We start from the raw sequence: 26623 nt of genomic DNA, 5'->3' as shown, positions 1-26623 counted from the left end.
CGGACCATGAGAATAGTCATTTGAAACTTTTTGTTGTTGTTGTTGTTGTCACTAACTGGCTTTTTCTCATCCATGCTCAGGATATGCATTGAGGACTCTTCATCTAATAGCCCTGACCCACGCAGAACCTGCTCCCAAGAATCAAGCTCAGGCTTTTTGGCCACTCAGGTTCCAAGAAAAGCAGCCTTATGGACTCTCTCAAGTGTGGGCTGCTGAGGAGCTTTCTCAAAAGGTGAGGTCCTGACTCTCCTCTCTCTCCCAACTACAGCAGATTCCCATCTTTGCACCTGGCTCTAAGCTTGCAGGTGGAGCCCAGATGCTGGCACCTGTCTCTCCAGGATGTCTTGGCTTCTACACTGTCTCCCATCAAGGTCTAGGAGGAGGAAGGGTTTTGCATCAGTCCTTGGCCTATGGCTGACACAGTGGCTTTGGTGGCTTTCAACTGTGGTCTAGGCTGGCTGGTGACCCTGTGTGCACCCCTTGTTTTCCAGCAATGGCAAACTGCCCCAGCAATAGCAAAAGAAGGGCTCCACTGAAATCACAGCCACAGACACAATGGTCCATCATCGTCACTGTGCCTGTTGCAGAATTGCCTCATGTTCTACTCAGGCTCTGCCCTTAAAAACAAAGCTTGGACTCACACAGTTCCAAGCATAGCACAGATCAAATACTGGCATCAGGAGGAATCCTCCCCTCTTATACCTTCTTCCTGGAATGCTGCAGGGTGTTGCAGAAAAGGAAAATGCAGTGGAAAGGCTGGAGAGAGAAGGCCAAGGCTGGGAGGTACACGATGCCCTGTGCAAGGGCTCCCTTGAGTTCTTTCTGGCCTGCAGCCTCCATAAGCATAAAAAACCTATACCCAGACTGTGAGAACATAGTGTGAGGAACTGCAGCGTCATGTTGGAGCTGGGCCTCCCCAGAGCCGTGCTGGAGGTGTTTGTGGCCCTGTCCTCCAACTGGAGAGATGGCCTGGGCATGAGGCCAGCAGGCCCTCCTCACCTGGGTAGTAAAGTCAGCCAGGTAGCAGGATCCGCCTCCTGAAATAATTCATTCTCTGCCCCCAGCCTTTGGTGACAAGCTGAAGAACCCACTCCAAGTTGTCCTGCTGGCTTCCATGCGGACATCATGAATGTTCCTGAACCAGCTGGAGGCGAGTTTGGATATGACAGAGATACATCATTGCTGAAAGGGATCAGGAGTAGGTGAGGGTCAGGTGCTGGGTCTCCAACCCAGGGGCAGGCTCTTATCCCAGGGAACTGAATCAGGGCTGTGGAAACCACAACAGGAACAACTTGAACCAGGAAAAGAATTAAAGGCCTTTCTTGCTTGCTTAGCTTTTTTGTTGTACTTTTCATTTTTATCAAATCAATGAATTCACATAACAACGAGTTAAATGAGTGAAGAGCATGTGATGAAAAGCAGCTGTCCTCCCTCTTCTTTCTCACCTCCCAGCACCATGGCTTGGTGGTGACTTCTTTAATTATTTTAGCTTTCACTGCTTTTCATGATTATTGTGATAACACTAATCAGTATTTCTCAAAATATAAGTTGCAACCCACTACTGGATCATTAATTTCATTTAGGAGGTCATGTCCAGCTCTTTTAAAAATTTTAATTGATACATAATATTTATAGATATTTACGCGATACGAAGTGATATATCAAAACATGTATACATAGTGTGATCATCAGTTCAGGGTAATTAGCATACCATCACCTGGAACATTTATCATTTCTTTGTAGTGATAACATGTAAACGTCTCTCTTTCAGTTACTTTGGAATATACATTATTGAAAACTATAGCCACTCTGCTGTACAATAGGCCACCAGAGCTTATTCCTGCTATCTAATTATACTTTTGTACCTGTTAACCACTCCCTCCCCAGTCTCTGGCAACCACTGTTTTATTTTCTACTTCTATGAGATCAACCTTTTAGATTCCACATATAAGTAAGATCGTGTGATATTTGTCTTTCTGTGTCCGGCTTATTTCATTTAATATAATGTCTTCCAGGGTCACTTATGTTGTTGGAAATTAAAGGGTTTCATTGTTTTTAGTGGCTGAATAGGATTCCATTCTGTGTATATACCATATTTGTAACAATCTATGTATGCATTGATAGACACTTAGATTGATTTCATTTCTTGGCTATTGTGAATAGTACTACAATAAACATGGGAGCGCAAATATTTCTTCAGCATACTGATTTAATTTTATCTGAATATACACCCAATAGTGGGATTGCTATATCTAGTATTTCTGTTTGTAAGAAGGAAGGAAGGAAGGAAGGGAGGGAGGAAGGAAGGAAGGAGAGAGAGAGAGAAAGAAAGAAGGAAAAGAAAGAAAGAAAGAAAAAAGAGAGAAAGGAAGGAAGGAAAGAAAGAAAGAAAGAAAGAAAGAAAGAAAGAAAGAAAGAAAGAAAGAAAGAAAGAAAGAAAGAAAGAAAAGCTCCAGGTATTAGAGCCTGACAAAAATTCATGCTGAGCCTAAACTTCCTAGAGACAGTAGTACTGAAACTGATATATCTGCACAAATGCCAGGGCTGAATGAGTGACACAGGCATGTTACAGCAAAAGGCCAAAGCCATTTGTTAATTTGTCCACAGTTAAGAAACTGACAGACTTAAACTACCATATAAAATGTTACACGTAAATTCTATAACAATACTGTGCTAGGTACAAGATTTTTACATTTTTTCTTTTAATAAAAAAGCTTTACACGAACAAGCCATTAGCTTATTTTAAGAAAGAAAACAAAAAGTCTGAGGGCTTTGTTTTAAATTAGCTTAAGCTATAAGATATATATATATATATATATGTATATATATGTGCGTGTGTACATATAGTGATACATATATAGTGATATATATAGTGATATAGATATCTATATCACTATATATATCACTATATAGTGATATATATGTATATACGTATATATGTATATATTTGTGTGTATATATAGTGATATATAGTGATATATATACCACTATATATGATATATATGTATATACGTATATATGTATATATAATATGTATATATATGTGTATATATATATCACTAGATTTTCTTTTGCTATCCTCTTTCTGAAGTTTTTGGATCCATTCTTCAATTCACATTCTAAAATACCTCTATTAGCAGGGTCTTCACTTAGCACCAGTTAGGTGATTATTGTGCAAACACAGTAATAATTGCTGGGATGCATATAAAATGCATCAAAAATTGCTATATGTAACAATGAGATCACTCATGCCAACCCCTCCCCACTGAAAACTACATAACCTCTTACAGAATGTTAGTGTTCCAAGTCTTAGTGTAACTTGATCTCATAGTGAGCTGCTTTCAATTCTTTTGATTGACAGGTTCAGTTGTTTCTGTAAGAGGCAGTTTTCTGTCAGCATCTTAATACGTAGTTCATTTCCCACTGAAACATGAGACAGGTAATTTATTTCCAGTAAGTTTGATTGTTTTCTTTTTCTCTTTTTTTCTTTTTCTTTTTTTTTGAGTTGGAGTTTCACTCTTGTTGCCCAGGCTGGAGTGCGATGGCACGATCTTGGCTCACTGCAACCTCCTCCTCCTGGGTTCAAGTGATTCTCATGTCTCAGCCTCCCAAGTAGCTGGAATTACAGGTGCCCACCACCATACCTGGCTATTTTTTGTATTTTTAGTAGAGACAGGGTTTCACCATGTTGGCCAAGCTGGTCTCAAACTCCTGACCTCAGGTGACCCACCTGCCTCAGCCTCCCAAAGTGCTGGGATTGTGAGCCACCGTGCCTGGCCAATTGTTTTCTTATAAGCATTAAAAATGTCTTAAAGTCCTCTTTGGCTTTTCTTGATGACTTCCCTTGCAAATGTTTATGTCACTACTACCACTAACAGCCTGAAGCACATGGTGGAGCTGCTATTTTATTTCTCACATGTCACTAGTCCATCATTTTCATAGTTACAAGAAGGGGCAATAGCTGAAGGTACACTGACAACCACTACGTGGGTAACTGTCTCATTTCCATCTGCCGGCTTTTCTTCTTTCAGCTGCAAAGTTTTCACATCATGTTCTTGTGTTCTTGCCACTGCTTCTGAGTTAACCTCTGGCCCCTTTATGACCAAACTGATAACTAGAGGATGAGTCTGGCCAGATGCCTGCTGAGTAGGCACTGAGAGTCTCATTACAGGTGTACCATGGGCTATTGAAACAAACAAGGGTAAGTGCTCTCACAGCCAATGGTGTTCCAACAATGTCAATGCTTCCTGATCCAGTTAAATTTGACTTTGTCTGTAGTTGACAAAGTCAAACTGTGTAGCTGGGATGGTAATAATTTTGACAGGCTGCATGGTGATTTTTTCTTGGTTTTCAGTAGAAGCTGTCATCATAGTAGGGATTATCTGAATGACTACCTTTGGAGAGGTCGCTGTTGTTGGATTAGTGCTGGTTATTAATGGTGCACCTGCATTAACTGACTGAACTGCCACAGTTGAAATGTTCTGACCCAATGATGTCATTACAACAGGTACTTGCATTGCCACACAAACTGTCCTTGGAGCTGCTGTTGCTGATACAGATGCAGTGGTAGTTGGAAACCTGCATGAAGCATCGTGACCAGGGGAAGTGATATTCACGACTCTAGCTACACTCTTCTCTGCTCTGGAGAAGTTTATGGGGGATGAATTTTTTCTATCACAAACAGAGGATGCTGCTTTCAGGAGACTTTCTGCCGACAGTGACACTCGTTCCAATGATTTTTTATCAGTAGCTCCTGCTAAATTTTCATTACAGATTTCACTTCTGTCATCATCTGTGACCACTATGGTTTTGGGCATATCCTTAAACTGATATACAAGCCTCTGTCCTTCAACCTTTGCAAGACTTCCCTTTTGGTAGCTTTGCAATAATTCCCCTTTGGTAATAGAATCTCAAAGCTCATTCCATAGTTTCATAGTTCATGTTTGGTTTGTTCTTATGCTTTCCCCAAAACTTGGAGACAGCCTTTGAATCCACCAGCCTGAATATGCCTTTTTCTCTCTGAATCCATTTAATATAGAGGGGACAAATATTTTTATCTTTAAGTAGATCTAAAAGAAACTCCCACAAATATATTATGTTTCCTTTTCCTTCTCTCATCTTTTTTTTTATACCTGACTCAGGAGACCCACTGGAAATTGGTGATTGTTGGGTCTTTGGTTTACAGCCAATTTTTTTCCTTTTCATTGGTTCATGGCTATCTGGTGATGTAGGAATAGGAGAGGTATCCGTTGGTTCAGACCCCTCAGTTGACACCTCCACTACAGTTTCTGTAATGATATCTGGCCTCATAGCAACATGGATAAATTCAGGACTTCTTGAATCCCTCAAGTAGGTGGGAGATTTCATAGGAAGCAGGGCTTCAGTAGCTTCAATTCTCTTTTGGAGTCATGTTCAAAATAATCTTGCTCAGGCCAATGTCTTAAAGCATTTCTGCTGTTTTCCTCTAGTAGTTTCATATTTTGGGGTCTTATATTTGTGTCTTTAATCCATTTGAGTTTATTTTTCTATCTGGTGAAGGATAGAAATCCAGTTTCATTCTGTGTGTGCACATCCCGTTTTCCAAGCACCATTTGTTGAAGAGTCTGTCCTGTTCGCAATGTGTGCTCTTGGCACTTTGCCAAAAATCAGTTGGCTGTAGATGCATGGAGTTATTTCTGGGCTTTCTGTTCTGTCCCTTTGGTCTATTTGTCTTTCTTTATGCTAATGCCATCCTGTTTAGGTTATTATAACTTTGTAGTGTATTGTGTATTTTGAAGTCAGGCAGTATGATGTTTGGAGCTTACTTTCTTTTTCTTCTTCTCCAGACTGCTTTGTCTATTTGGGGTCTTTTTTGGTTCCATATGAGTTTTAGGATTGTTTTTCCTATCTCTGTGAAGAGTGTCACTGGTATTTTGATAGAGATTTCATTGAATCTATAGATAGCTTTGGTTAGGACTGGCGTCTTAAAAATATTAGTTTTTCTAATGCAAGAACACAGGATATCTTTCCATTTATTTGCATCCGCTTAATTTCTTTCACCAATGTTTTATACTTTTCAAACCAGAGATCTTTCAGCTCCTGGTTAAATTTATTTTTAGGCATCTCGTTTTTTTGTAGCTATTTTCTATGGAATCTTTTTCTACATTTTCTTTTCAGATAGTCCATTATTAGTGTATACAAGTGCTGCCGATTTCTGTATTTTGTCTCTGTATCCTGCAACTTTACTGAATTCATTTATCTTAACAGGTTTTTTTGGTAGAATCTTCAGCATTTTCTGCACACATGAGTATAAATCTAGAGAAAAGTAAACTCTCATACATCATTAGTGGAAATATAAATTAATAAAGCCACTATGGAGAACAGTTAGGAGGTTCCCCATAAAACTACAAATAGAGCTACCGTACAAATCAGTGATCCCACTGCTGGGTATATACACAAAAGAAAGGAAATCAGTATATTGAAGAGAAATCTGCACTCCCCAGTTTACTGCAGCACTGTTCACAATAACTAAGATTTGGAGGAAACCTAAGTGTCCATCAATAGATGAAAGGGTAAAGAAAATGTGGTGCATATACACAATGGAGTACTATTCAGCCATAAAAAGGAATGAGATTCTGTCATTTGCAACAATATGGATGGAACTGGAGGTCATTATGTTAAGTGCAACAAGCCAGGCACAGAAAGACAAACGTGGCATTTTCTCACTTATTCATGGGATCTAAAAATCAAAACAATTGAGCTGATGGGCATAGAGAGCAGAAGAATGGTTGCCAGAGGCTAGGAAAGGTAGTGGGAGGGGATTGGCAGGGGTGGGTGGGGATAGTTAATGGGTATAAAAAAATAGTTACAAAGAATTAATAAGACCTACTATTTGATAGCACAGTAGAGTGACTATAGTCAAAAATAAAGTAATTGTACATTGAAAAATAACTTAAGAAGGATAATTGGATTTTTGTAACAGAAAGGATAAATGCTTGAGGGAATGGACACCACATTCTTCATGATCTGATTATTATGCATTGCATGCCTGTATCAAAACATCTCATGTACCCCATAAATATATACACCTATTATGTACCCACAAAAATTAAAAAACTAAAAATAAAAGAAAAATAAAAAGAGATGCATCCTTTGGTCCCTGAAGCACTGAGGTGCTGCCATGAGGTGCAAGGACTCCTTGTGGCAGCCACAGCTGGAGTGAGGTGGATGGAGATGCTGGTGATGGAGAGTGGAGTCCTGGTGAGCTGCAGAGAAGGCCGCTGGCACCAGTGCTGGCGAGATGCCTTATGCTGGGGTCAGGGTGGCCTTAGGCCAGGTTCTGCCTCTGCCCATCCCAGTTGTGTGAGAGGCTGGTGGAGATCAGTCTCCCCACACCCATTTCTCTTCCTGGGCCCATAGGAAGACTACATTTCCCAGCCTCTCTTGCTTTTTGTTGAGGGCCAGGGGTTTTGTCAAATGGAGTGGGGGTAGAATTACACCCAAGGCTCAATCCTTCATCCTCTCTCTTCCCTTCTGAGCCACCTCTGAAGCCATGCATTTAGAGACAGGGTCACGACTCAGCAGGAGCCTGGAGGCCTGAGCCACTTACCCTGTTGCTATCAGCCTGGCATGGGAAGGAGAAACAAATCTTTGCTGTACTAAGCCACTGGGGTTTCTGGCTTATTTATTGCTGCAGCATAATCTATGCTATCCTGACTGGGGTAGATTGAGCTTGGCAACATTTTTAACCTCTCTGAGTCTCCCTTTCTTCATTTGCAAAATGTTAATTGTAATATCTGTTGTTGTACTCAAGGCCAACTTTGCTGTATGTAACAGAAACCCATTCATTTTGGCTGAAGCAGAAAGGGAATTTGTTGGAATATTTCAGGGGACTCTCATGAAATCCAGCACCTACTGCCTTCCTAGCCTCGAGGACACATCCTTCACATCCCAGCATTGTCATCCAGTCCACTGTGTCTCTGTGTCTCACAGCAAGTTCCAGAAGAAAAAAATCTGATTGTCTTAGTTTGTGTCAAGTCAGCTGTAGCCAGAGACCAGGGTCACATAAGACAAATGTGGCCTGGGGTTTTCTTATGAGCAGGGTGCACTTTTCTGTTAGATGGGTATCAGGAGGCAGAGGGATTACTGGTGCCATTTGTAAGGAGTCATCTCTGCCCTGTAAAGAGATCCAAGGGAAAGCCTGCTACTTCTGCCACCATCCAGCCCAGCAGTCGACCCCTTTCAGCCATATTTAAATGTTAGACATTTGAGTTATCCACATGGTCTGAAATTGCAGCTGGAGACCTTTCAGCAAATCTCAAAGTTCTTTCAGGGCACACAACAGCGTGGACACACAGAGCAGCTGAAAGGCCCAGAGGGAGGGAGAGTGGTGTCCACTGCACAGTTATTTCAGCGCCACTGATGCATTGGTGAGCACAAAGCTATTTATTTATGGGCTTGCTCTGCTTGGTAGAGATCCTCACAGGCCTGAGATGAAGTAGTAAGGACGAAAGGAGTCTCTGAACAATAGGACAGTCTGATGGCCGTTCATAGGGCGGCACCTCCACCCGAAGGCTAGGATCTGGGCTGTGACTCTAGAGTACTAGCGGAGGGCACATTCTCTACTAGCAAAACTCTGCTAGGATACTTTCCATGCACCCCGTCAAGTGATCCCAACATACGTTTTTGCATGAAACCTCAGCATTCCTGCATACAGCATGGCAGACACCTTTGGGGCATCTGCTCAGCCCATGATCCCCATCTCATACAAAAGAAAAAGGACGTGACCATCATCGCCAGGAAGGTGCGTCCAGGGGCTGCAGTGCCCCTGCTCGCCATTAGATGATGCTACTAAGCCAGAAACAATCTGTTTTTCTTTAATTTCTGGATTTTTCCTCTATTTCTTAGTATTTGTTTTCTAGAAACAATGGATTGCCACTTTTCTAGTTGGAAATCTTGAGCTGTCTAGTGAAAGAAGACTCTACAGTAGGACAGTGATTCATTCAGGAAATAGTTCAGAGTGATGTACGGAACCACTTCAGTGGGCGGTTGTTCACGGCTGTTGACTTTATCTGTCAGTGGCTTGAACATGTGGAGTCCAGTAAAAACCAGAGTTCCTGGGAAGAGATGTAAAACACAGCCTCGTACTCTCACCCCTCTTCTTGTTTCCACTGCCACCCTCACCCCACATTTTGCAAGGGGGTTATGGTTCCAGCAGAGATTTCTTCATGCCTGATGAGCTGTTAGACTACTCTAGAAAGGAAATCACGAGGATCCTGTGCTCTTGTTCAACACGATGGTAAAGTTGGTTAGTGCAGGGCATGGCTAGGGAGGGACCGTATTCACTATGGGTCCATGAATAGCTTTTTATTTGCTGGCGGTCAAAAGGTTCAACCAATGTTCAGCAGCAATATAGTAACACAGAATAGATGCTATTCTATTTGACCCAAAAAGTTGGCTGAACTCCTTAGGAGTCACGAGCACACTGGCCCTGATATTTCAATGAACTATGAAACAAAGCACTGACCTGCCTCTCTCTCAAATAGAATAGCATCTATTGGGCTATTTGCCCTTCTTTTACACATTGGAAATTGGGGACAAGAGGCTATTTCTTTGTGATCAGCTGGAAGAATGGAAAAGGTAAAGTAAAGCCAAATTTATTTAACCTCTGCTATATGCCGGGTACTGTGCAAGGCACTTTTACACTTGTCTCACACAATTTAAGCCACATCACCCCTATTATTTTAAACTTTCAACTTCAGTTGACATGACCCTTGTTTCTCTCTCCTGTCTAATCTACCATTGTCTTCTACCATTGGTCTGAATTACACAGGTTTTCATGCCAGCTCTTGAATACTCCACACCTGCTAATCTCTCTGCCTAAAACTCTCCTCTCTAAGATGAGCGTGGTGGCTAACGCCTGCAATTCCAGCGCTTTGGGAGGCTGAAGTAGGAGGATCACTTGAGCTCAGGAATTTGAGACCTGCCTGGGCAACATAAATCAAAATACAAAAAATTGAAAAATTAGCTGGGCATGGTGGTGTGCTCCTATAGTCCCAGCTATTCAGGAGGCTGAGGTGGGAGGATTGCTTGAGCCCAGAAGTTCTAGGCTGCAGTGAGCTGTAACCACACCACTGCACTCCATCCTGGGCAACAGAATGAGACTGTCTGATAAAAAAAAAAAAATCTGTTCTCTGGGTCTCTCTGTGTGTCTTCATTCCTTAATGCTAGTCAAGACTGTCATCAAATGTGACCCCCTTCATGGGTCACCAGCCCCTCCAGCCTGCGTAGGTTTTCTTTAGGGCACACACCACAACCTATTTGTGTGTGTGCTGGCCTGTGTGCTGCCTGTTCTCACACTAGAATCTCAGTTCCAAGAAATCAGCCTTGCTGCCAGTATTGCCGCCCCCCTGTAATCCCAGTGCCCTGAACAGTTCCTAGCATATGCTGGAAGCTCAACAAGTATCTGCTGAATAAAAACATGCATGAGTGGGCTAAATCGGATCACTATGGGATACATTAGATTACTATAGAGATGTTGGGGAATTTCTAAGTTTATAGATTATCAAACTTTTTTTGTCTGCCTCTGACTGAGCATGGAAAAAACAAAACAAAACAAAACAAAACAAAACAAAAACAGAAACAAAGCTCAAATGAGACTAGGCTAATACTCGTTGGAAAGTCAGGGAAAACTAATTTGAGTAGAGGGAGAAATGACCCTCATCTCACTTGAAGTTTTGTCACTGGTGTCTAATGAGCCAGGGGCTCCAGCCCCCATCACTAAGGGCTCTCTCAGGACCTTGCACACAGGCGGCTGTACAAAGGACCCAGGGACTTCCCTCCATGGCTGGAGCTGCCTGTGACAGCAGAGTGGCTAGGTGTAGGGATGTGGGTCTTTCAAGACCCCACCCACTTTATCTTCTCGTCTTCACATTGGACAGGCGAGTTGTCCAATACAAAACCCAAAGGAGTATTTTTATGTAAGCTGACACACCCTGCCTTCTGTAAGTCATGGTGTTTTTCGATAAGGATATGCCATGGTTCTCTTATCTTTTTTCCATGTGGTGTTCTCTGCTGCACACAGCCCTGACAGCGCAATTGTGCTAATGGGAAGATGTGCTGACTGGGTGGTGCTTCCCTCTCTGATTTAGAGGAAATACATGGTCTGCTTTGACCCACTGGATGAATCTTCCAATATTGACTGCCTGGCCTCCATTGGAACCATCTTTGCCGTCTACAGAAAGGTGAGTAGACAGGCAAAATGTGAGGAGGGCTGACATTTCATGCGTCCCTCCTGGAGTGGTCTCTGGAAGGTTCCTAGGCTGAGAGTCACGAGTTTGGAGTCCTCATCTCTGTCCCCCTACTAAATAGAAAAGCCACTGCAGGCAAACCACAAACTTCTGTCTTCCTAAGCTCCTCATTAGAAGAACTGAATTGGTGATTCTCCCTGTGACTACTTTCTGTTGTTCCTGGGGCGATACTGTAGAAGGACAGCCGGGATCTTGTTTTGAAATCTGGATGCAACACCAATGTCAAACATAGTATTAGGTTCCAGGGGGCATCCAAAGACCCACTCTGTTTCTTCTTTCTGCACCTCACCTCTTAACGGCATTCATTTTCTTTTGCTGCCAGAACAAATCACCACACACTTAGAGGCAGCAAACAACACTTGTTGATTGCCTCCCACTTCTGTAGGTCAGAAGTCCAGTCGGCTTGGCTGGGTTTTCTGCTTAGGGTCTCCTGAGTACAAAATTGAGATGACAGCCAGTCTGGCTCCTTATCAAGAGGCTCCAGGGGAGAATTTGTCTCCAGGCTCATTTAGGTTGTTGGCGGAATTCAGTTCCTTTCTGTGGTGGGATCAAGGTCCTCGTTTCATTGCTAGCTGATGGCCAGGGTCCTTCTTGGCTGCTGAATGCTGCCCGTGTTCTTTGGCTTGGTAGCCCTTCATTTTCAAAAGCAGCAGTAGTTAGTCAAAATTTTGAATCTCTGACACCACCTCCCCGTCTTGCCTCATCTCCCTTGTCCCTAGCCAAAGGAAGTTCTCTGCTTATAAAAGCCAGTTTTATTAGGTTGGACTAATCTAACCAGGATGACCTAGTGTGATCTTCCTATTTGAAATCCGTACGCTGATTACATCTGAAAACTCCTTGTTGCCATGTAATGCTTGGTATTCACAGACTCTAGGGATTGGGGTATCTTTGGGGCCATTCTTCCTACCCGGAAACCCTAGCAAACAAAGCAATGAAAGAATGAAGCACAAAAGCACGGATTTATTGAAACCAAAGTATGCTCCACGGAGTGGGAGTGGGCTTGAGCAAGCAGCTCAAGAGCGCTGATTGCAGAATTTTCTGGGGTTTAAGTACTCTATAGAGGTTCCTATTGGTTACTTGGTTTACACCCTATGTAAATGAAAAAGTGGCCTGCAACCAGTCTGATTGGTTGTGGAAGGCAACCAATCAGAGGCTGAAGTGAAGTTACAAAGTTACATCCTATGCAAATATCTGATTGGTTTCACTTCAGCCTCTGATTAGTCCCCTCCTGAAACCAATCAGCATGCCTGTGGTCCCAGCTACTCGGGAGGCTGAGGCAGGAGAATCGCTTGAACCTAGGAGGCGGAGGATGCAGTGAGCTGAGATCGTGCCACTGCACCCCAGCCTAGGTGACAGAGGGAGACCCTGTCTCAAAAACAAAAAAAAAAGAAGAAGAATAGCTGGATGCAGTGGCTTGCTCCTGTAATCCCAGCACTTTGGAAGGCCAAGGTGGGCAGATCTCTTGAGTTTGAGACCAGCCTGGGCAATGTGACAATACTACATGTCTACAAAAAATACAAAAACTAGCTGGGCGTGGTAGCATGCAAACGTAGTCCCAGCTACTGGGGAGGCTAAGGTGGGAAGATCGCCTGAATCTGGAGAGGTTGACACTGCAGTGAGCTGTGATCACGCCACTGCACTCCAGCCTGGACAACAGAGCAAGAACTCATTAAAAAAAAAAATCCTACATGCTAGATCAACCTCCTCAAGTTGTTACAAAGCTCACAAATTTAAATAGAATTCATGAACAAAATGTTTTTCAGAGGGAGCTAACCAATCAAGCCACAAATGAGAAATTTTCCTCAAAATATCAATACTCTAAACACTATGGCAAATACTGTTCCTCCTATCAACAAACCAAAATCACATCTACAGGTGACTGATTTTCATTGACTTCAAATAATTTCGGACCTAGTGGCATTCCTCAGCGTTCAGCTTTCTTTCTCCTCTTTTCCTCTTCGATTCAGTCCTTCAGATGCAGAATTTTGTGCTCCTTAGTTCAGCTAAAACCCAGGTACTTGTCTCATGACCAGGAAAAATTAGGCACATGGACACATTGAAAGGTGAGGAGAGCAGAATTTATTAAAAGAAAGCCTCAGTGAAAAAAAAAAAGGGGGATCCTGCCAACAGGCTCCCACCTCACAGACTGAATACCAGGCCACCACACACGAGATGAAGAGTACAGGCTTCTCCCCGCTGCATAAGGCGTAAATTCCTGGTATCTCCACCCCCCCTTTCCCCTAGTGCAGAGGCCAGCCCTTAGTCTGAGCCACTCCACATTGTTTTATTTCCCTTACTGCGCATGTGTTAAGGGAAGGAATTTTTCACCGTGGGCATGTTTAGGCAAGCCCCCTGTGCACAATGACCTGGGTGGCATTTGGCTGTCTCCTGTCTCTATTATTTTCTCCCAAGTTAGCAGGTTTATCTGAGCGGTGTCCTTTCTGTCTGCCTTGATCCTTTCCTCACCACCCACTTGCATTTGCCCCCTCTGTCGTTCAGTGCATTTTCTCCCAGGATGCTCTGGCCACACTGACCAGGTGTCTCTATCTCTGCTGCTTCTCTTTTGCTTTGTTTGTTTGTTTTGTTTTGTTTTGTTTTGAGATGGAGTCTCATTCTTGTCCCCCAGGCTGGAGTGCAGTGGCACAATCTTGGCTCAATGCAAATTCCGCCTCCTAGGTTCAAGAGATTCTCCTTCCTCAGCCTCCCAAGTAACTGGGATTACAGGCGCCTGCCACCATCTTTTATATTATTAGTAGAGATGGGGGTTTCACCATGTTGGCCAGGCTGGTCTCGAACTCCTGACCTCAGGTGATCTGCCCGCCTCAGCTTCCCTAAGTGCTGGGATTACAGGTGTGAGCCGTCACACCCAGCCAATCTCTGCTGCTTCTCTTTACCCTGAATATTGTTCTATGTTTTCTTGAACCTGTGAACTTCTTGTGAATGTTAAATACTAAGAGCTTCTCAAAATGAGACCCCACATTCTAAACAGAATCTATAGTCAGGATTCTAGGGAAGGTCAGCTTGCTCCCACCCCCGGAAGCACTTTGCTGTTGAAGGCGTTGTCTATGGAGCATCGAGGTCACTTGGGGCATTGGAAAGACATTCAGGGAGGGAGTTACTAAGTCTGAATTTCTGGAGTTTTTTTAGTAGAGGAGAATGATGGGTCTTTGGCCATCCTTCTTCCTTTTTTTCCCTCCTGTCTAACAAATTTTGTATCTTGTGATCAACGTCTCCCTAACCATACCCCAATCTCAGGGTAAGCACCATTCTACTCTCTACTTCTATGAGTTCAACTCTACTAGATTCCACGTAGAAGGGAGACATTTAGTATTAATATTTCTCTTTCTGTGTCTGGCCTATTTCACTCAATGCGTTGCCCTCCAGGCTTAGCTGTCTTGTGGGAAATCATAGCATTTCCTTCTTTTTTAAGGCTGAACAGTATTCCACTATGAATATATGCCACATATAAAAACTCATTCATCCACTGATGGACACGTGAAGTGCATATGAATGCTTCCAGCATCTGTGGAGCTGTGAGGACTTGGTATCCCCGTTACCTTCAGCAGAATCTTCTAGACTCCATGTTCAAGGAGCCCCTTGAGGTTGTTTACCTTCGTCATCCCTCAGTGGGCTCTTGACTTTAGCGTCTGGATTAGCCATAATGGGATGAATTGTTTGCCAAGCATTGCTAATCACAGTCTGTCTTCCTTGTGGGTGAACATAAATCCCCACACAAATAACTGCTTGGCACCTGGGCACACCCGGTACTGGAATTTGGTTTTTGAAAATGACAGCTGTCACAGCGGCTTCTTTGGAGAATGCATCGCTGAGGATTGTGGTGGGAGTTCAGGAGCAGACAGTGCCTGCGGAGGAAGCCAGGAAGGGGCTGACCTGCAGTTCTGACTCGGGTCACCTTGAGCAGGAGACAATGGGGCACGTGATGTGGGAGAGGGAAGGGGAAGAAGAGGTCATTCACCCTTCAGAGCATCTTAGGACCATTTTCTTCCTTTCCATGTCCTTTCTCTTGATATTTCTCGGTGTTTCTCACTGGATGCCTTTGGGGATTTGGGTGAGTAGGAACTCCTGTCCTTACAGGATATTTCTTGTCTGTGGCTGCCAAGCATCTAACATGCTAGCATCCCCTATAGCCCCATATTGTGAAAACCAAAACAATACCTACACACATTGTCTGATGCCCCCTGGGTTGCTGCCATACTCTGCAAGAGCCACTGTGGAGCTGGATCAGAGTAGATCTCACACAGTGGTGGGGAGAGGTCTGTATCCGGAAGAGCTGAAGGAGGTGGCCATGTTATTTGGTTTCCAAATGGGCCAAATGAGCAAAAGAAATACTTTCTGTGTTCCCGGCTCTCATCAGTTGACATTGCCTAGGAATGTGTTTTTAAACTACATTTGCTAGAGAATCAATGGGACTGGGCATCTGGAAAGAAAACCAAAGTCTTCTTGTTTCCCTGGACCAATGGAGGATGGGCAGGGGAGAGGGACTAGCTGTTTTCATTATTAGACAGTGCAGGGGGCTGCCCCATGGGAAATAGGACCTTGCAGACAGGGCATTCCAGGGGCCCAAGTGAGCTCCCCAAATGGGTGGGGCAGGACAGCATTGAAGGTGACTGAGGCCAAGGTTGGAGTTCCCGGGGAAAGAAAGAACATGGGCCAGGGGCTGATCTGTGTGGGATCTACTCTGAAAGTTCACAGGAAGTGAACTAGGGCAGTGGTGTGCAGGAGCCTCCAGTGATGTCCCTGAGAGCCGTGCATGTCTTCCCAACTCAGTGACATCACACGGGGTACTTGAAATCAGCCAGGGTGGGAGCATTTACACCACAAGAATCAGCAAATGCTACAGATCGATGCCTGCCTGCCCACCAGAGGTAGCTGACCAGTTCACCATTGTTTTAGGGGTCTCTAATAGCCCCCACACCTCCACCCTGGCTGTAGGTACCACCTTATTGCAGAAGGAGGTTGCACCTTCTACTCCTCTGTGCTCACTGCTACCAATAAAACAAAGCCCAGTGCAGCTGAGGCAGGATAGGTAGTCAAGGAAATGGCCATGTTTTTGGGATGCAGCAACCACAGTTACCAGTGACCGTACAGCCAACACAGTAAGTCTTAGCATTTGCATTGTAATTGAGCTCACACAAGCAACGCTATCTTCAGTGGGGAGTTTCCCTTCTAGACAGCATGCACATTTTGATTTTACCTCTCCTCAAAATGACCCTTTGCTCATAATTGTAAAAAACATGGCCAGGCGCGGTGGCTTACACCTGAAATCCTGGCACTTTGGGAGGCCAAGGCGAGTGGATTGCCTGAGCTCAGAAGTTCAAGACCAGCTCGAGCAACATGGTGAAACCCTGTCTCTACTAAAACGACAAAAAATTAGCCGGGTGTGGTGGCGTGCACCTGTAATCCCAGCTACTCAGGAAGTTGAGACAGGGGAATTGCTTGAACCCCAGAGGCAGAGGTTGCAGTGAGCCAGAATTGTGCCACTGCACTCCAGCCTGGGTGACAGAGCAAGACTCCATCTCCAAAAAAAAAAAAAAAGAAAAAAGAAAAAAACCACCACTGGGTAGAGATTTAAGATGTTAATGAGACATGGGACATATGAACCAGCATGTACAGTTACTACACATGTGCACCCAGAAGACCACCCAGAACATGCTTATTAGCAAAACCTCTTCCCACCTCCCTATTAATAATCATGTAAGACTCCCATAAAGGGGGTTTCTCCAACAACGATCAATGCTGTCTCACCCTCTCACCCTAAGGAGCAGCCGCCCCGAACTCCCTCTCTCTAAGGGTGTACTGTCTCTTCTGCACCTAACTTTCAAAATATTCTTTCTCCTTTGCAATAAAATCACTCTATGCTTCATCTCCTTTGCTGTGTGCCTTTTGTTTAAATTCTTTTAAACCAAGAAGACAAGAACCGAGGTGTCACATCGGCCATCAACACAGCTATCCATATCTGCCTGAGGATGCTGGTGTTGCTTAGCCAAACCCAGTTCTCCTTCTAAAAGAAAGGAGGGACTCCTTCTATGACAGGTAGTGATGGGGGATGCATCTTGATTTTATATCAGCATCCATTTTACTACAGTCGCTGCAAGTCCCATTCTTATCGGATTTTAAAATAAGAGTTTCAGGAGTTGGCATATTTTTATTCTGTTTGATTCTCCTTCTAATCAGATTTTCCATGAGCTGATATTAAAAGTAGTGTGCCTTTACTTCATCAGATAGTGAAGAAAGGTGCCCAGGAATATTTTGAAAAGTGAAAAAAAAAAGGGGGAGTTTGCCCAGAATGAAAAATTCACCACCTGCAAGCTGCATTTGCATAATTAAGAGTTGCTGCTCCATCCATGGGCTCTCACTACACCCTGCCACGTGGGCGGGGCCACATTGCCTCTCAGCGCTCTTATCTGGCCTTCCCAGACCGTGGATGGTCTCCTCATTAGCTTGCAGATGTTTAGTCCTCTTTTCTGATGAGAAAAATGAAAATAAATTGCCACAGTTGGTGCTGGAATAAAGGAAACTAGAAACTAGGAGATCCACCAGGGCTTCAAAGAGCAATGCTGTTACCAAATAACACTGATTCACTCATGCACTGAAAAGATATTCCCAGTGTCTACTGCATGCCAAGAGCTGTTCTGGGCACTGCAGAGACCACGGTGAACAAAATCGGCAGAACCCAGCCAGGAAACAGATCAGAAAAATGCCAGATAGCATAAGTTGAATCAATGGGTGATAAATAACAGCCTACAACTCACCACCTGCTTCTGTAAATAAAGTTTTATTGAGACACGGCCACACGCTCTTGTCTACGGCTGGTGTTCATACATGGCAGAGTTGAGTTGCCACAGAGACCATCTGGCCCTCTACAGAAAGGGTTGCTGCCTCCTGGGGTAGGTGCCATGCAGGGAATTGAAACAGGATGAAGTGAGATGAGAGGATGGTGGAGTCTACTTTCACCTGGCTGATGAGGACCTCTCTGATGTGACACTGAAACCAAGACCTGAAGGGCAAGAAGAAGGAAGCAGCCCGAGGAAGGGCTGGAGGAAGACAGAGGAATAGGGAGTGCAAGGGGCCAGGTAGTGAAGGGTTGGAGGAGCTCAAGCATAAAACAACAAAGAAGGAGGGTAACTGGGCTAGGGCCAGAGGATGGGCCTGGAGGTGCAGGCAGAGAACGATGCGCGAGCGATGTGACCCCGACGACGTGACCCCGACGACGTGACCCGAGAGGTGGCACGGCTTTATAGACCTTACCTGGGGGGTGAGGAGACTGGGTTTGGGCCAAGTGTGTTAAGCTGGCTGGTGCGAGATCTGCCTTAGGTTTAGGAATTCCCCCAGCTGCTCAGACTGGAGCCTCGGGGTCAGGAGGTGGAGCAGAGGGACCTGATAGGAGATGATCTTGGCAACCAGGGGAGATGTGACGGTGCTTGGACTGGGGCTGTCCAGGCTCTATTACTTAGTGAGCCTTGGGCAAGAATACATGTGGGACCCTCCATAGGAGCCAGGCCCAGTGGGAAGGACCTAGGGAGTCCTGTAGCTGGTGCTCACCCGGGTTCCAGACGCTGTCCACAGAGCCTGTCATTTGACTGCCAGGATCTGTGCGGTCCTCTCATGAGCCCATTTCAGAGGAAAGTAACCCAAGGCTCAGAAGTTCGAGGTGGGTCTTCCCAGGCGAGAGGAACACAGCAGATGGGGGCCTCCCCTACAAGCTGCAGTGCTCTGTTGAGTATGAGGAGGGGAGGGGGGACATTGACTGTCATTTAAAAATCAGGAGATCACACCTAAAAATGTGGATATTTGGCTTCTTGTGGGAAGCCTGTTCCACACTGGATGCACCTTCCTCCGTGGTGCTGGGTAGCGGGGAGGCGGCAGCTGCTCCACTTAGAGGGACACAGGCTCTGATTTCATGATGTTCTCCACCTGCACTCCAACTCCAAGAGTCAAGAGTCCCTTGGAACAGGAGAGAGACCTCAGAAGCAGGTCCTGCCCCTGGTGTGAAATTCTGCTCTGTGATGACATTCCCAACCAGGGGAGAAGGACAGTACCCTGCGCAGAAATGCATTGGAGTGTGTGGGCCCTGGTAAGGTCATGCCTAGTCAATGTCAGAGGCAACATTCAGTCTCAGAGCTCTCTAGCAAAGCCATGCAGCCTCTGGGAGGACCTGGCAAGAACAAGAGATGTGTGCAACCCCATGGAGGCCCCCATTGCTTAATGCCCAGGTGGTCCATTGGCTCCAGAGGGGTAGGCAGAGTGTTATCCAGTACCTGGAAATAAGGAGCTTCACCTACAGTTAAACCAGCATCTGCCTGAGGCTGTAAAGAGGCAGGAGGCCGTGCACACAGGCCCCATAGCACCTTTTCCTCCTGCCCGGTGTGGGGAAAACTTGACCTGGGGTGTGCACCTGCAGCCTTGAGTCTGAGGGAGCCCTGGATAGAAGGCACAGCTCAGCAGCTGGACCCAGAGGTGGATGGGAAGATGCCACCAGAGAAGATGCCACTAGCCCTGGGCCAGGCAAGTCAACAGTCACTTGATGCTCTTAGAGCCTGTGCATCAGCACCAGACCACACCCCACAGGCAGGGGACTCCTGTTCAAGTGGCATGAGACCAGCTGGGGTGCTGCACAGAGCACGCCATGGTTGCTGGATGAAGTAGTCCTGGGAAGATGTAAAGCTTCACCCTTCAGAAATATTTGAGAGCAAGGAACATACTGAAACATTGAAAGAAAACATTCCCTACATCTGTATCTCAGCATCAACTATGACTTTCTGTCTCTAATGAATAGACAGAATCAGAGTCCATGTGCATTTTGTTCTCTGGAAAGTTGGTGTCCCCTGAGCTCCCCGGAGCAGAACTGGCTGTGGCAGCAGAGAGAGGAGAAGCTTGTCCTGGGCCCCCAGATCCTGCCCTCGAATTACAAAAGTAATTCCAAAGTGACATTGTGGAATATTTAGAAAATTCAGAGAAGTAGAAAAACCGTCACTAACAAAATTATTGAAGGACATAAAATAGTAGATGAAAAAAATGGAAGGAGATTGCTATCCCTGATAGCAAGATAGGACTGGATGTTTCAATTTCTCTGAGTTATATAAATTTAATAGAGTTCCAGTTAGCATCTGAATGGGACTAAGGAGATTGAGTTTCCTATCTTATAACTTTAATAGAAGAATAAATAAAACATTATAAAGGCTCTATAATCAATATGATTAAATAAGTTATAGGAACAGCCTAGAGAGTATAGAAGTCAATCATAATATCTACAGAAATGTTATAGAAAGCAAAATATGTTATTTCAATTTAATGGGGAAAATGTTTGTTTGATAAGCGATCTTGACACAGCTGGCTATTTGCCTAAAGGTAAACAACGTTGAACTCCCGCTCACTACAGAGCATAAAGATAAATGGATTAGAGCTTTTCACCGTGAAATGATACAACAATCTCTTGAATGGAAATTTGGGAAAACTTGTTTTTAAAATGACTTGGAAGTTTAGAAACCTTTTAAAACCCTAGATATGTTTAAAGAAAATGTACATATTTGACACACTTTTAAAAAAAGACTTTCTGGCAAATATATTCCACAAAGTTACAAAGTGAAATAGACCTGGAAAAAAATATTCTCAATGCATTTCACAGCTAGAGGGTTACTACTACCCATAATATTCAAAAAGCTCTCCAAAATTAGTAAGAAAAGGGCAGACATCCCAGTGGAAAGTGGTAACGCGTTCTCAGAAGGTTCCTACTGCCCAAGCCTGAGTGTCAGCTCTGGGCCCCTCTGCTGTCCAGCAGGGGCCACCTCCTGTTATGGGCCCCCCTTCCAAAACCCTGCACTCCCGACAGCAGGCGCTGGATCCAGACATGCTTTTGGAATTCTCGGGAAACACAAAGGGAGTAGTCCGGCGAGGCCTGGGAGGAATCTGTCACAGAAACCAGGGGCGGTGATCTAGGAACTAACAGTGGTCTGTCTGTGAGGGCCCCTGCACTTCCCCACCAGGTCTGGATTGGGGCTGCATTCCTGAGGCAGGAGGGAGTGTCCCTGGAGATTTTTGAGCTGGGCTGTGGCATGATCTGCTGCTTCTCAGATACCCCCCACCCAACCCCTAAACTCCTGAGCTCAGGCAGGTGGAGCCCACCACGTCAACTGCACTCACCCCTGAGAATCCTGTTTTGGGAATAGGGAGTGGAATTTAGTTGATATAAAAGGATTTGAGAGGGGAGTGTGGAATTAACGGCGCAGTGCAGGGCATGGCATGTGTGGTTTCTAATCAGGAGGTGCGTCAATTATATGAATCTGTAACATAGGCTGATTTATTTAACCAACTTAAAAGGTTAGAAAATCATTTCAAGCTAATTACCAAGAATTGGTCTAATTTGAAACAATATTTCAACAACAGTCCCCATGAATGCTAATTTACTGGTCAAAACCCACTCTGACATTGATGATGATACTCATGCTCTTTTCCTCTTTTTGTTCATAAAGTGGTCATTACATGAGTGAAACAGTCACAGGAGGGAGAGACAGCGAGGGAAGAAAGGAGGGAGGGAGGAAGAAGTGAGGGAGTGAAACATTAGGAGTTGGTGAACATTAGTTGATTGAGTGACTGAGTCCACAATTCCAAAAACATTCTTGGAAGACTCAAAATCTGTTTAATAGATTTCCAGTAGAACTGAAGAGCCTCTATAAAACCTTATATTTGATAAATTGATTCCACTTGATGGTAACTAAAATAATAACTGTCCCAGTACTCAAGCATAAACGTGCTTATTTGTTCACCAAATCACCTGCAAGGCACCTGAATGAAAGATGTCCTCTCCACCGCAGCTCCGCTCAGGGCACCCACAGCTGCAGGTGAGTTAACCTGTCCTGCCCTGCTTCTTCTAGGTCTGCCCTCCCATGACTCACCTGTGTGAGAAAATCATCTCCATGCTGCCTTCCTGGTGGAACCTCAATGGACCCAACCAGCTGATGTCACTGCAGCAGTTTGTGTGCGAAGTGCAGGACCAGCTGAACCCTCTGGTCATCCAGGGGTACCCCAGGTGCATTGCTCAGCAGCTCCACAGTGCAGGCGAGGTGAGCCCCTAGTAGTCCAGGCAGGAGGCTGTGAGGAGCACCAGGAACTCACATCTGTCCCAAATTCCAGTTCTTGGAGGTGGTATGAGCCTTGGGAGGCAGTGTGGAAATGGGCCAACTACTGATAATATTTCCAGACATGTGACAATCACGTACAGCCTCAAGTGACGCTCTGAACTGCAGTTCTCGGCTCACCTTAGAAGCTGTCATTTTGTCTTGTGTGTTGCTTTTGTTTCCAGTGCCTGATAGTTTTGGAGTGCAGTGCCCGCTGCCCTGGGTGACTGGGTCCCTCTTCGCTCCCCCTGGGCACCTGGTACTAACCTGCTATTACTGGCAGCCTTCAGGATGGCTGCTTTCCATGCGGTGTGGAGTTACCAGCTCCAAACAGGCCTCCTGGGTGCAAAAACCATTGAGAAAAGGCAGTAAGGTGTTCTCATGGAGACAATGTTTGGGGGACCTAAGGCAGAGAATGTGTGCGCAGACACAGAGGGTAATCATAATTCAAGGAACACATTCAACCCCCCAGCAAGTGATTCCTGGAAGAAATGACCCAAAATAGGAGGCTTTGCTCCAGTTGTGTGACATTCAACACTGGGGTGCGGTTTAAAAACCCAGCCATAGAGCAAAAATGCAAAACCAGTTATCTTGTAGAATGTTCCTACTTGTGGATTTATCTGTCTTTTCCCAGTGACATTTTAAGTTACCCTTCCATAAAACTAACAGAACAGTTGAAAGCAACAACTATCCAATGCTGTCACCAATTATAGTACCCTGAAAGGAGAGAAAGAGGGAAGGGAAGGGGAAAGGAGGGGAGGGGAGGGGAGGGGAGGGGAGGGGAAGGGAACTAACAAAACTAGGAAAGTTATAGTGGTAGAACAGTGGTAATTTCCTTCAATGGAATAATTTAATGTTAGGAAAAATAACCACCCAGTGTTCCTCTGTTTCCTCCATTTCCCTGGACTAGTGATAAGTTCACCATGGGCCACATGACTCTAAAGGTTTATTGCTGTGTTTTGTTTGCTCAAGAGCCTTTGCTCTTTGCTATGCATAGAAGTGCAGGGAAAGCCCTCAGGCCCCATCTCATGACATATTTCATGACCATGTTTATTCCATCCCTTGAACACTGAAACTTACCCAAGGCCCCTGCGGGAGGGCCACACTTTAGGAAACACAGTCATTCTGGTTGCTCTTAAAATAAGGGCACAGGATCTAAGAGTCAAGAGGAAATGGGAGGTTTCTCAGTTCATCCAGAGCATCACCCACCATGAAACACAGGGGCCAGGCAGTCTGCTCAAACAGTCCCAGGGATGGAGAATTGGAAAAGCAGATTTTAATTCCTACGTGAGCTGACACTTGCTACCTGTATTTCTCGTCCCTTGTTCTGTCTTCCAGGTTATAAAGAAGCCTTGAATCCTCCTCCACGATACTCGCTCCACTATTTGTTAGCCCAGCTATGATGCTGCTCACAGATTGTTTTCACTCCTAAAGACAGTGGCGCAAGGCAAGGTGACCTGGAGCCAGGCCATCCTGAGTGTCCACCCAGCTTCCCAGGAGCCTGTTGGAATTTGGAAGGACATTTCACCTGTCTGTATAGAGCCTTGTTTTTTGTTGAAAGCCAGGGGCTCAAAACTTGTGTTTTGGAATTTAAACTCTGAACGTTTGACTCTTTTACTTTCCATTTATCCTTTAATAATCCTAACAGTTCCCAAGATGAAGGCTACTTCTGGCTGAATCAAGGACAGGTTACCAATAAGAAAGTCAACAAGAAATGAACATTATTATTATCTTCATTCCTGTTACAATTAAGGGGCTAGGGAGAGGAGAGTGGGGAGTTAGTGCTGAATGGGTTAAGAGTTTCAGTTTTGGTTGAAGAGAAAGTTCTGGAGATGGAAGGTGGTGATGGTGGCACAGCAATGGGAATGAGCTTCATGCCACTGAATTGTACTCTCAAAAATGGTTAAAATGGTCAACTTTATGTTATGTCTATTTTACCACAATAAAAATATTAAGTTGGTTCCCAATAGGCAGGTGAGTAAGAAAAACTTGCCACCCCTTGGAGAGAGTACAAGAGGCTGGTGCGGTGGCTTATGCCTGTAATCCCAGCACTTTGGGAGGCCAGGGAGGGCAGATCACCTGAAGTTGGGAGTTCAAGACCAACCTGACCAACATGGAGAAACCCCATCTCTACTAAAATTTCAAAATTACCTGGGCGTGGTGGCGTGTGCCTGTAATCCCAGCTACTCGAGAGGCTGAGGCGGGAGAATCACTCGAACCCAGGAGGTGGAGGTTGCAGTGACCCAAGACCATGCCATTGCACTCCAGCCTGGGCAACAAGAGCGAAACTCCGTCTCAAAACAACAGCAACAACAACAACAACAACAACAAACAGAGTACAAGAACAAGTTGGGCCCACCAATAGTGTGAGCTTTCCCAAGAACAGTGGTGATAGCCTGGGAGACTGGTGAGCATAACAAGGGTGCATCCAGGTACCTGGTTCTAGCGTGTGAATGTGGCAAGCCAGCCTTGACTTCTGCCTTCCCAGAGTGTTCTAGAAGGTGAGCTCTGAGAAAGCAGGGGTGAGCTCTGGGTCTTGCATGCTGCAGCCAATTATCTGTCAGTCCTTGCAAACTTTGTAGGCTGCAGAGTGGTGCCTGGAGGGAGATCCTGCAGGGCCCAAATTTTAGCCGGCACTCAACTCTTCAAGCTGTGGGCCCTCAGGGCTGTGTCTGTCCACCCTATGCAAAGCCTCTGGATGGGTGATCCTGGGCACTAAGTCTTGATTATTCTAGGAATGCTGTCTGTCTCAGCCTTGATGGGATTTGTACCTAGATTATGCAGATCCCTCTGAGTTCATTGAACACTCCACCATGCAAATTGTAAGGCATCAGCCAAGAACAGCTACCTCTGTAACAGCAATGTAGAGAACTCATGGGGGAGGAGGATGGGGTGTGGGAAAGAAGGTCACCAGCCAGGAAGCATTACCCCATGGCTGAGTGCACGTGACCGATGAGTGAAAATGCCCTAACCCATCAAAGAGACTCTGACACTTTCTTTTCTATGTTTGTTAACCTTTATCCTTGCTAGTGCCTGAATAGAACTGGACATTAAAGTATGGCCATGGGAATTACAGCACAAGCCTAAGGAGAAATTGTAAACTTAAATTCTCCAGGCCTCATCAATCATCTGTCATTTCCTTTCATTTCCTGGTATTTCATTAGAAAGGAACTAATTAGCTCCTTTCTGTTTCACCCATGCTGCCCTTGAGCTCAGTTACTCCACCACAACTTCCCAGAACTACCACATTCCTTTATCTTTTTAAAACAAATTTGGATTAAATGCCACCCAAAAAAATCTAGTCTTTTTTATTCTTCAGGGAGCCACTCCTCCTCCCCATGGTTGTGAGGCGTCCTGGGGTCTTCTGAGCAGTCTGTCTTTTGCTGCCTTTGGTCACTTCAAGATGTCTGACCTGCCTCCCCACCCTCCATGCCAAGCCTGGCTGTGGAAATAATCCAGATCCTATGTGCTCTAAGCCCAGCCACCAAGGCATGAGTGCAAGCAGGCTACAGCCCTCGGCCTCCTGCAGAAACTCCTGCCCCTCTCGCAGTCTTGGGGACAACTATTCTCCTCTCTTCCTCCAACCGCACTAGGCCAGGAACAATTAATTTCTTGATAACATTGACCTCTCAGCTTATAGGGGAGGTTTTCAAATTGGCTCCTGCGTTTGGAGAATGTTTTACCGTCTTCAGAGCTTGACTTTCAGGACCATTGTGGACACAGAAGTCTATTTGGGAAGAATAGACTATTTGACCTATGGCTGAATATTGATTTTTTTATTTGCATGTCTGTTGTTAAAATCCTTGTCTTAAGTCAGAATTTTAAAAATCAGTTGATTTTTAAAATCCTTTGATCTCTTTCAGTGCATCATACATATCTGGGGGCACAAAAAGCAGAAACAACAGGGGAGAAAGCAATGAGGATGGGAGCTGGTTTGGCTAGGAAATCCCAAGGGCACAGGAACTTCTTAACCCTACATCGAACCACAGAAGAGAGCTCAGCAGAGGCAGCCTGTTGACATGGCTTCAGGTCATGTTTACAGCCTCGTGTCCCTATCTGTCCGTCTCTGTTCTAAGACCTCCCAGGTCTCAAGAGCTTATCACACGCCCTGTTACTTTCCTGTGTTTTCTGACAATTCTGCCTAAAATCTTCAGTGGTATGTCTTAAGGCAAGACCCAACAGTGGTGTTTCCATGAGATA

General features: G+C 45.0%; 2 pseudogenes, besides 1 other annotated feature; one reads left to right on the top strand and one right to left on the bottom strand.

Moving 5' to 3' along the window:
- Window positions 79–22369, top strand: LOC100420576 (death associated protein kinase 1 pseudogene; annotated as a pseudogene).
- On the bottom strand, window positions 2422–5402 carry ELF2P3 (ELF2 pseudogene 3; annotated as a pseudogene).
- Window positions 21145–21645: an enhancer, noted in NCBI's record as "H3K4me1 hESC enhancer chr9:90415146-90415646 (GRCh37/hg19 assembly coordinates)". NCBI's record gives its function as "activates a minimal SCP1, AML or CMV promoter by ChIP-STARR-seq in primed H9 embryonic stem cells {active_cell/tissue: H9 hESC(primed)}" and the evidence as "EXISTENCE:reporter gene assay evidence [ECO:0000049][PMID:30033119]".

Source organism: Homo sapiens, chromosome 9 (assembly GCF_000001405.40).
Source record: "Homo sapiens chromosome 9, GRCh38.p14 Primary Assembly".
Lineage (NCBI taxonomy): Eukaryota > Metazoa > Chordata > Mammalia > Primates > Hominidae > Homo > Homo sapiens.
Note: the sequence above shows the minus strand (reverse complement) of the source record. Positions and strands in the feature narration are given on the sequence as shown.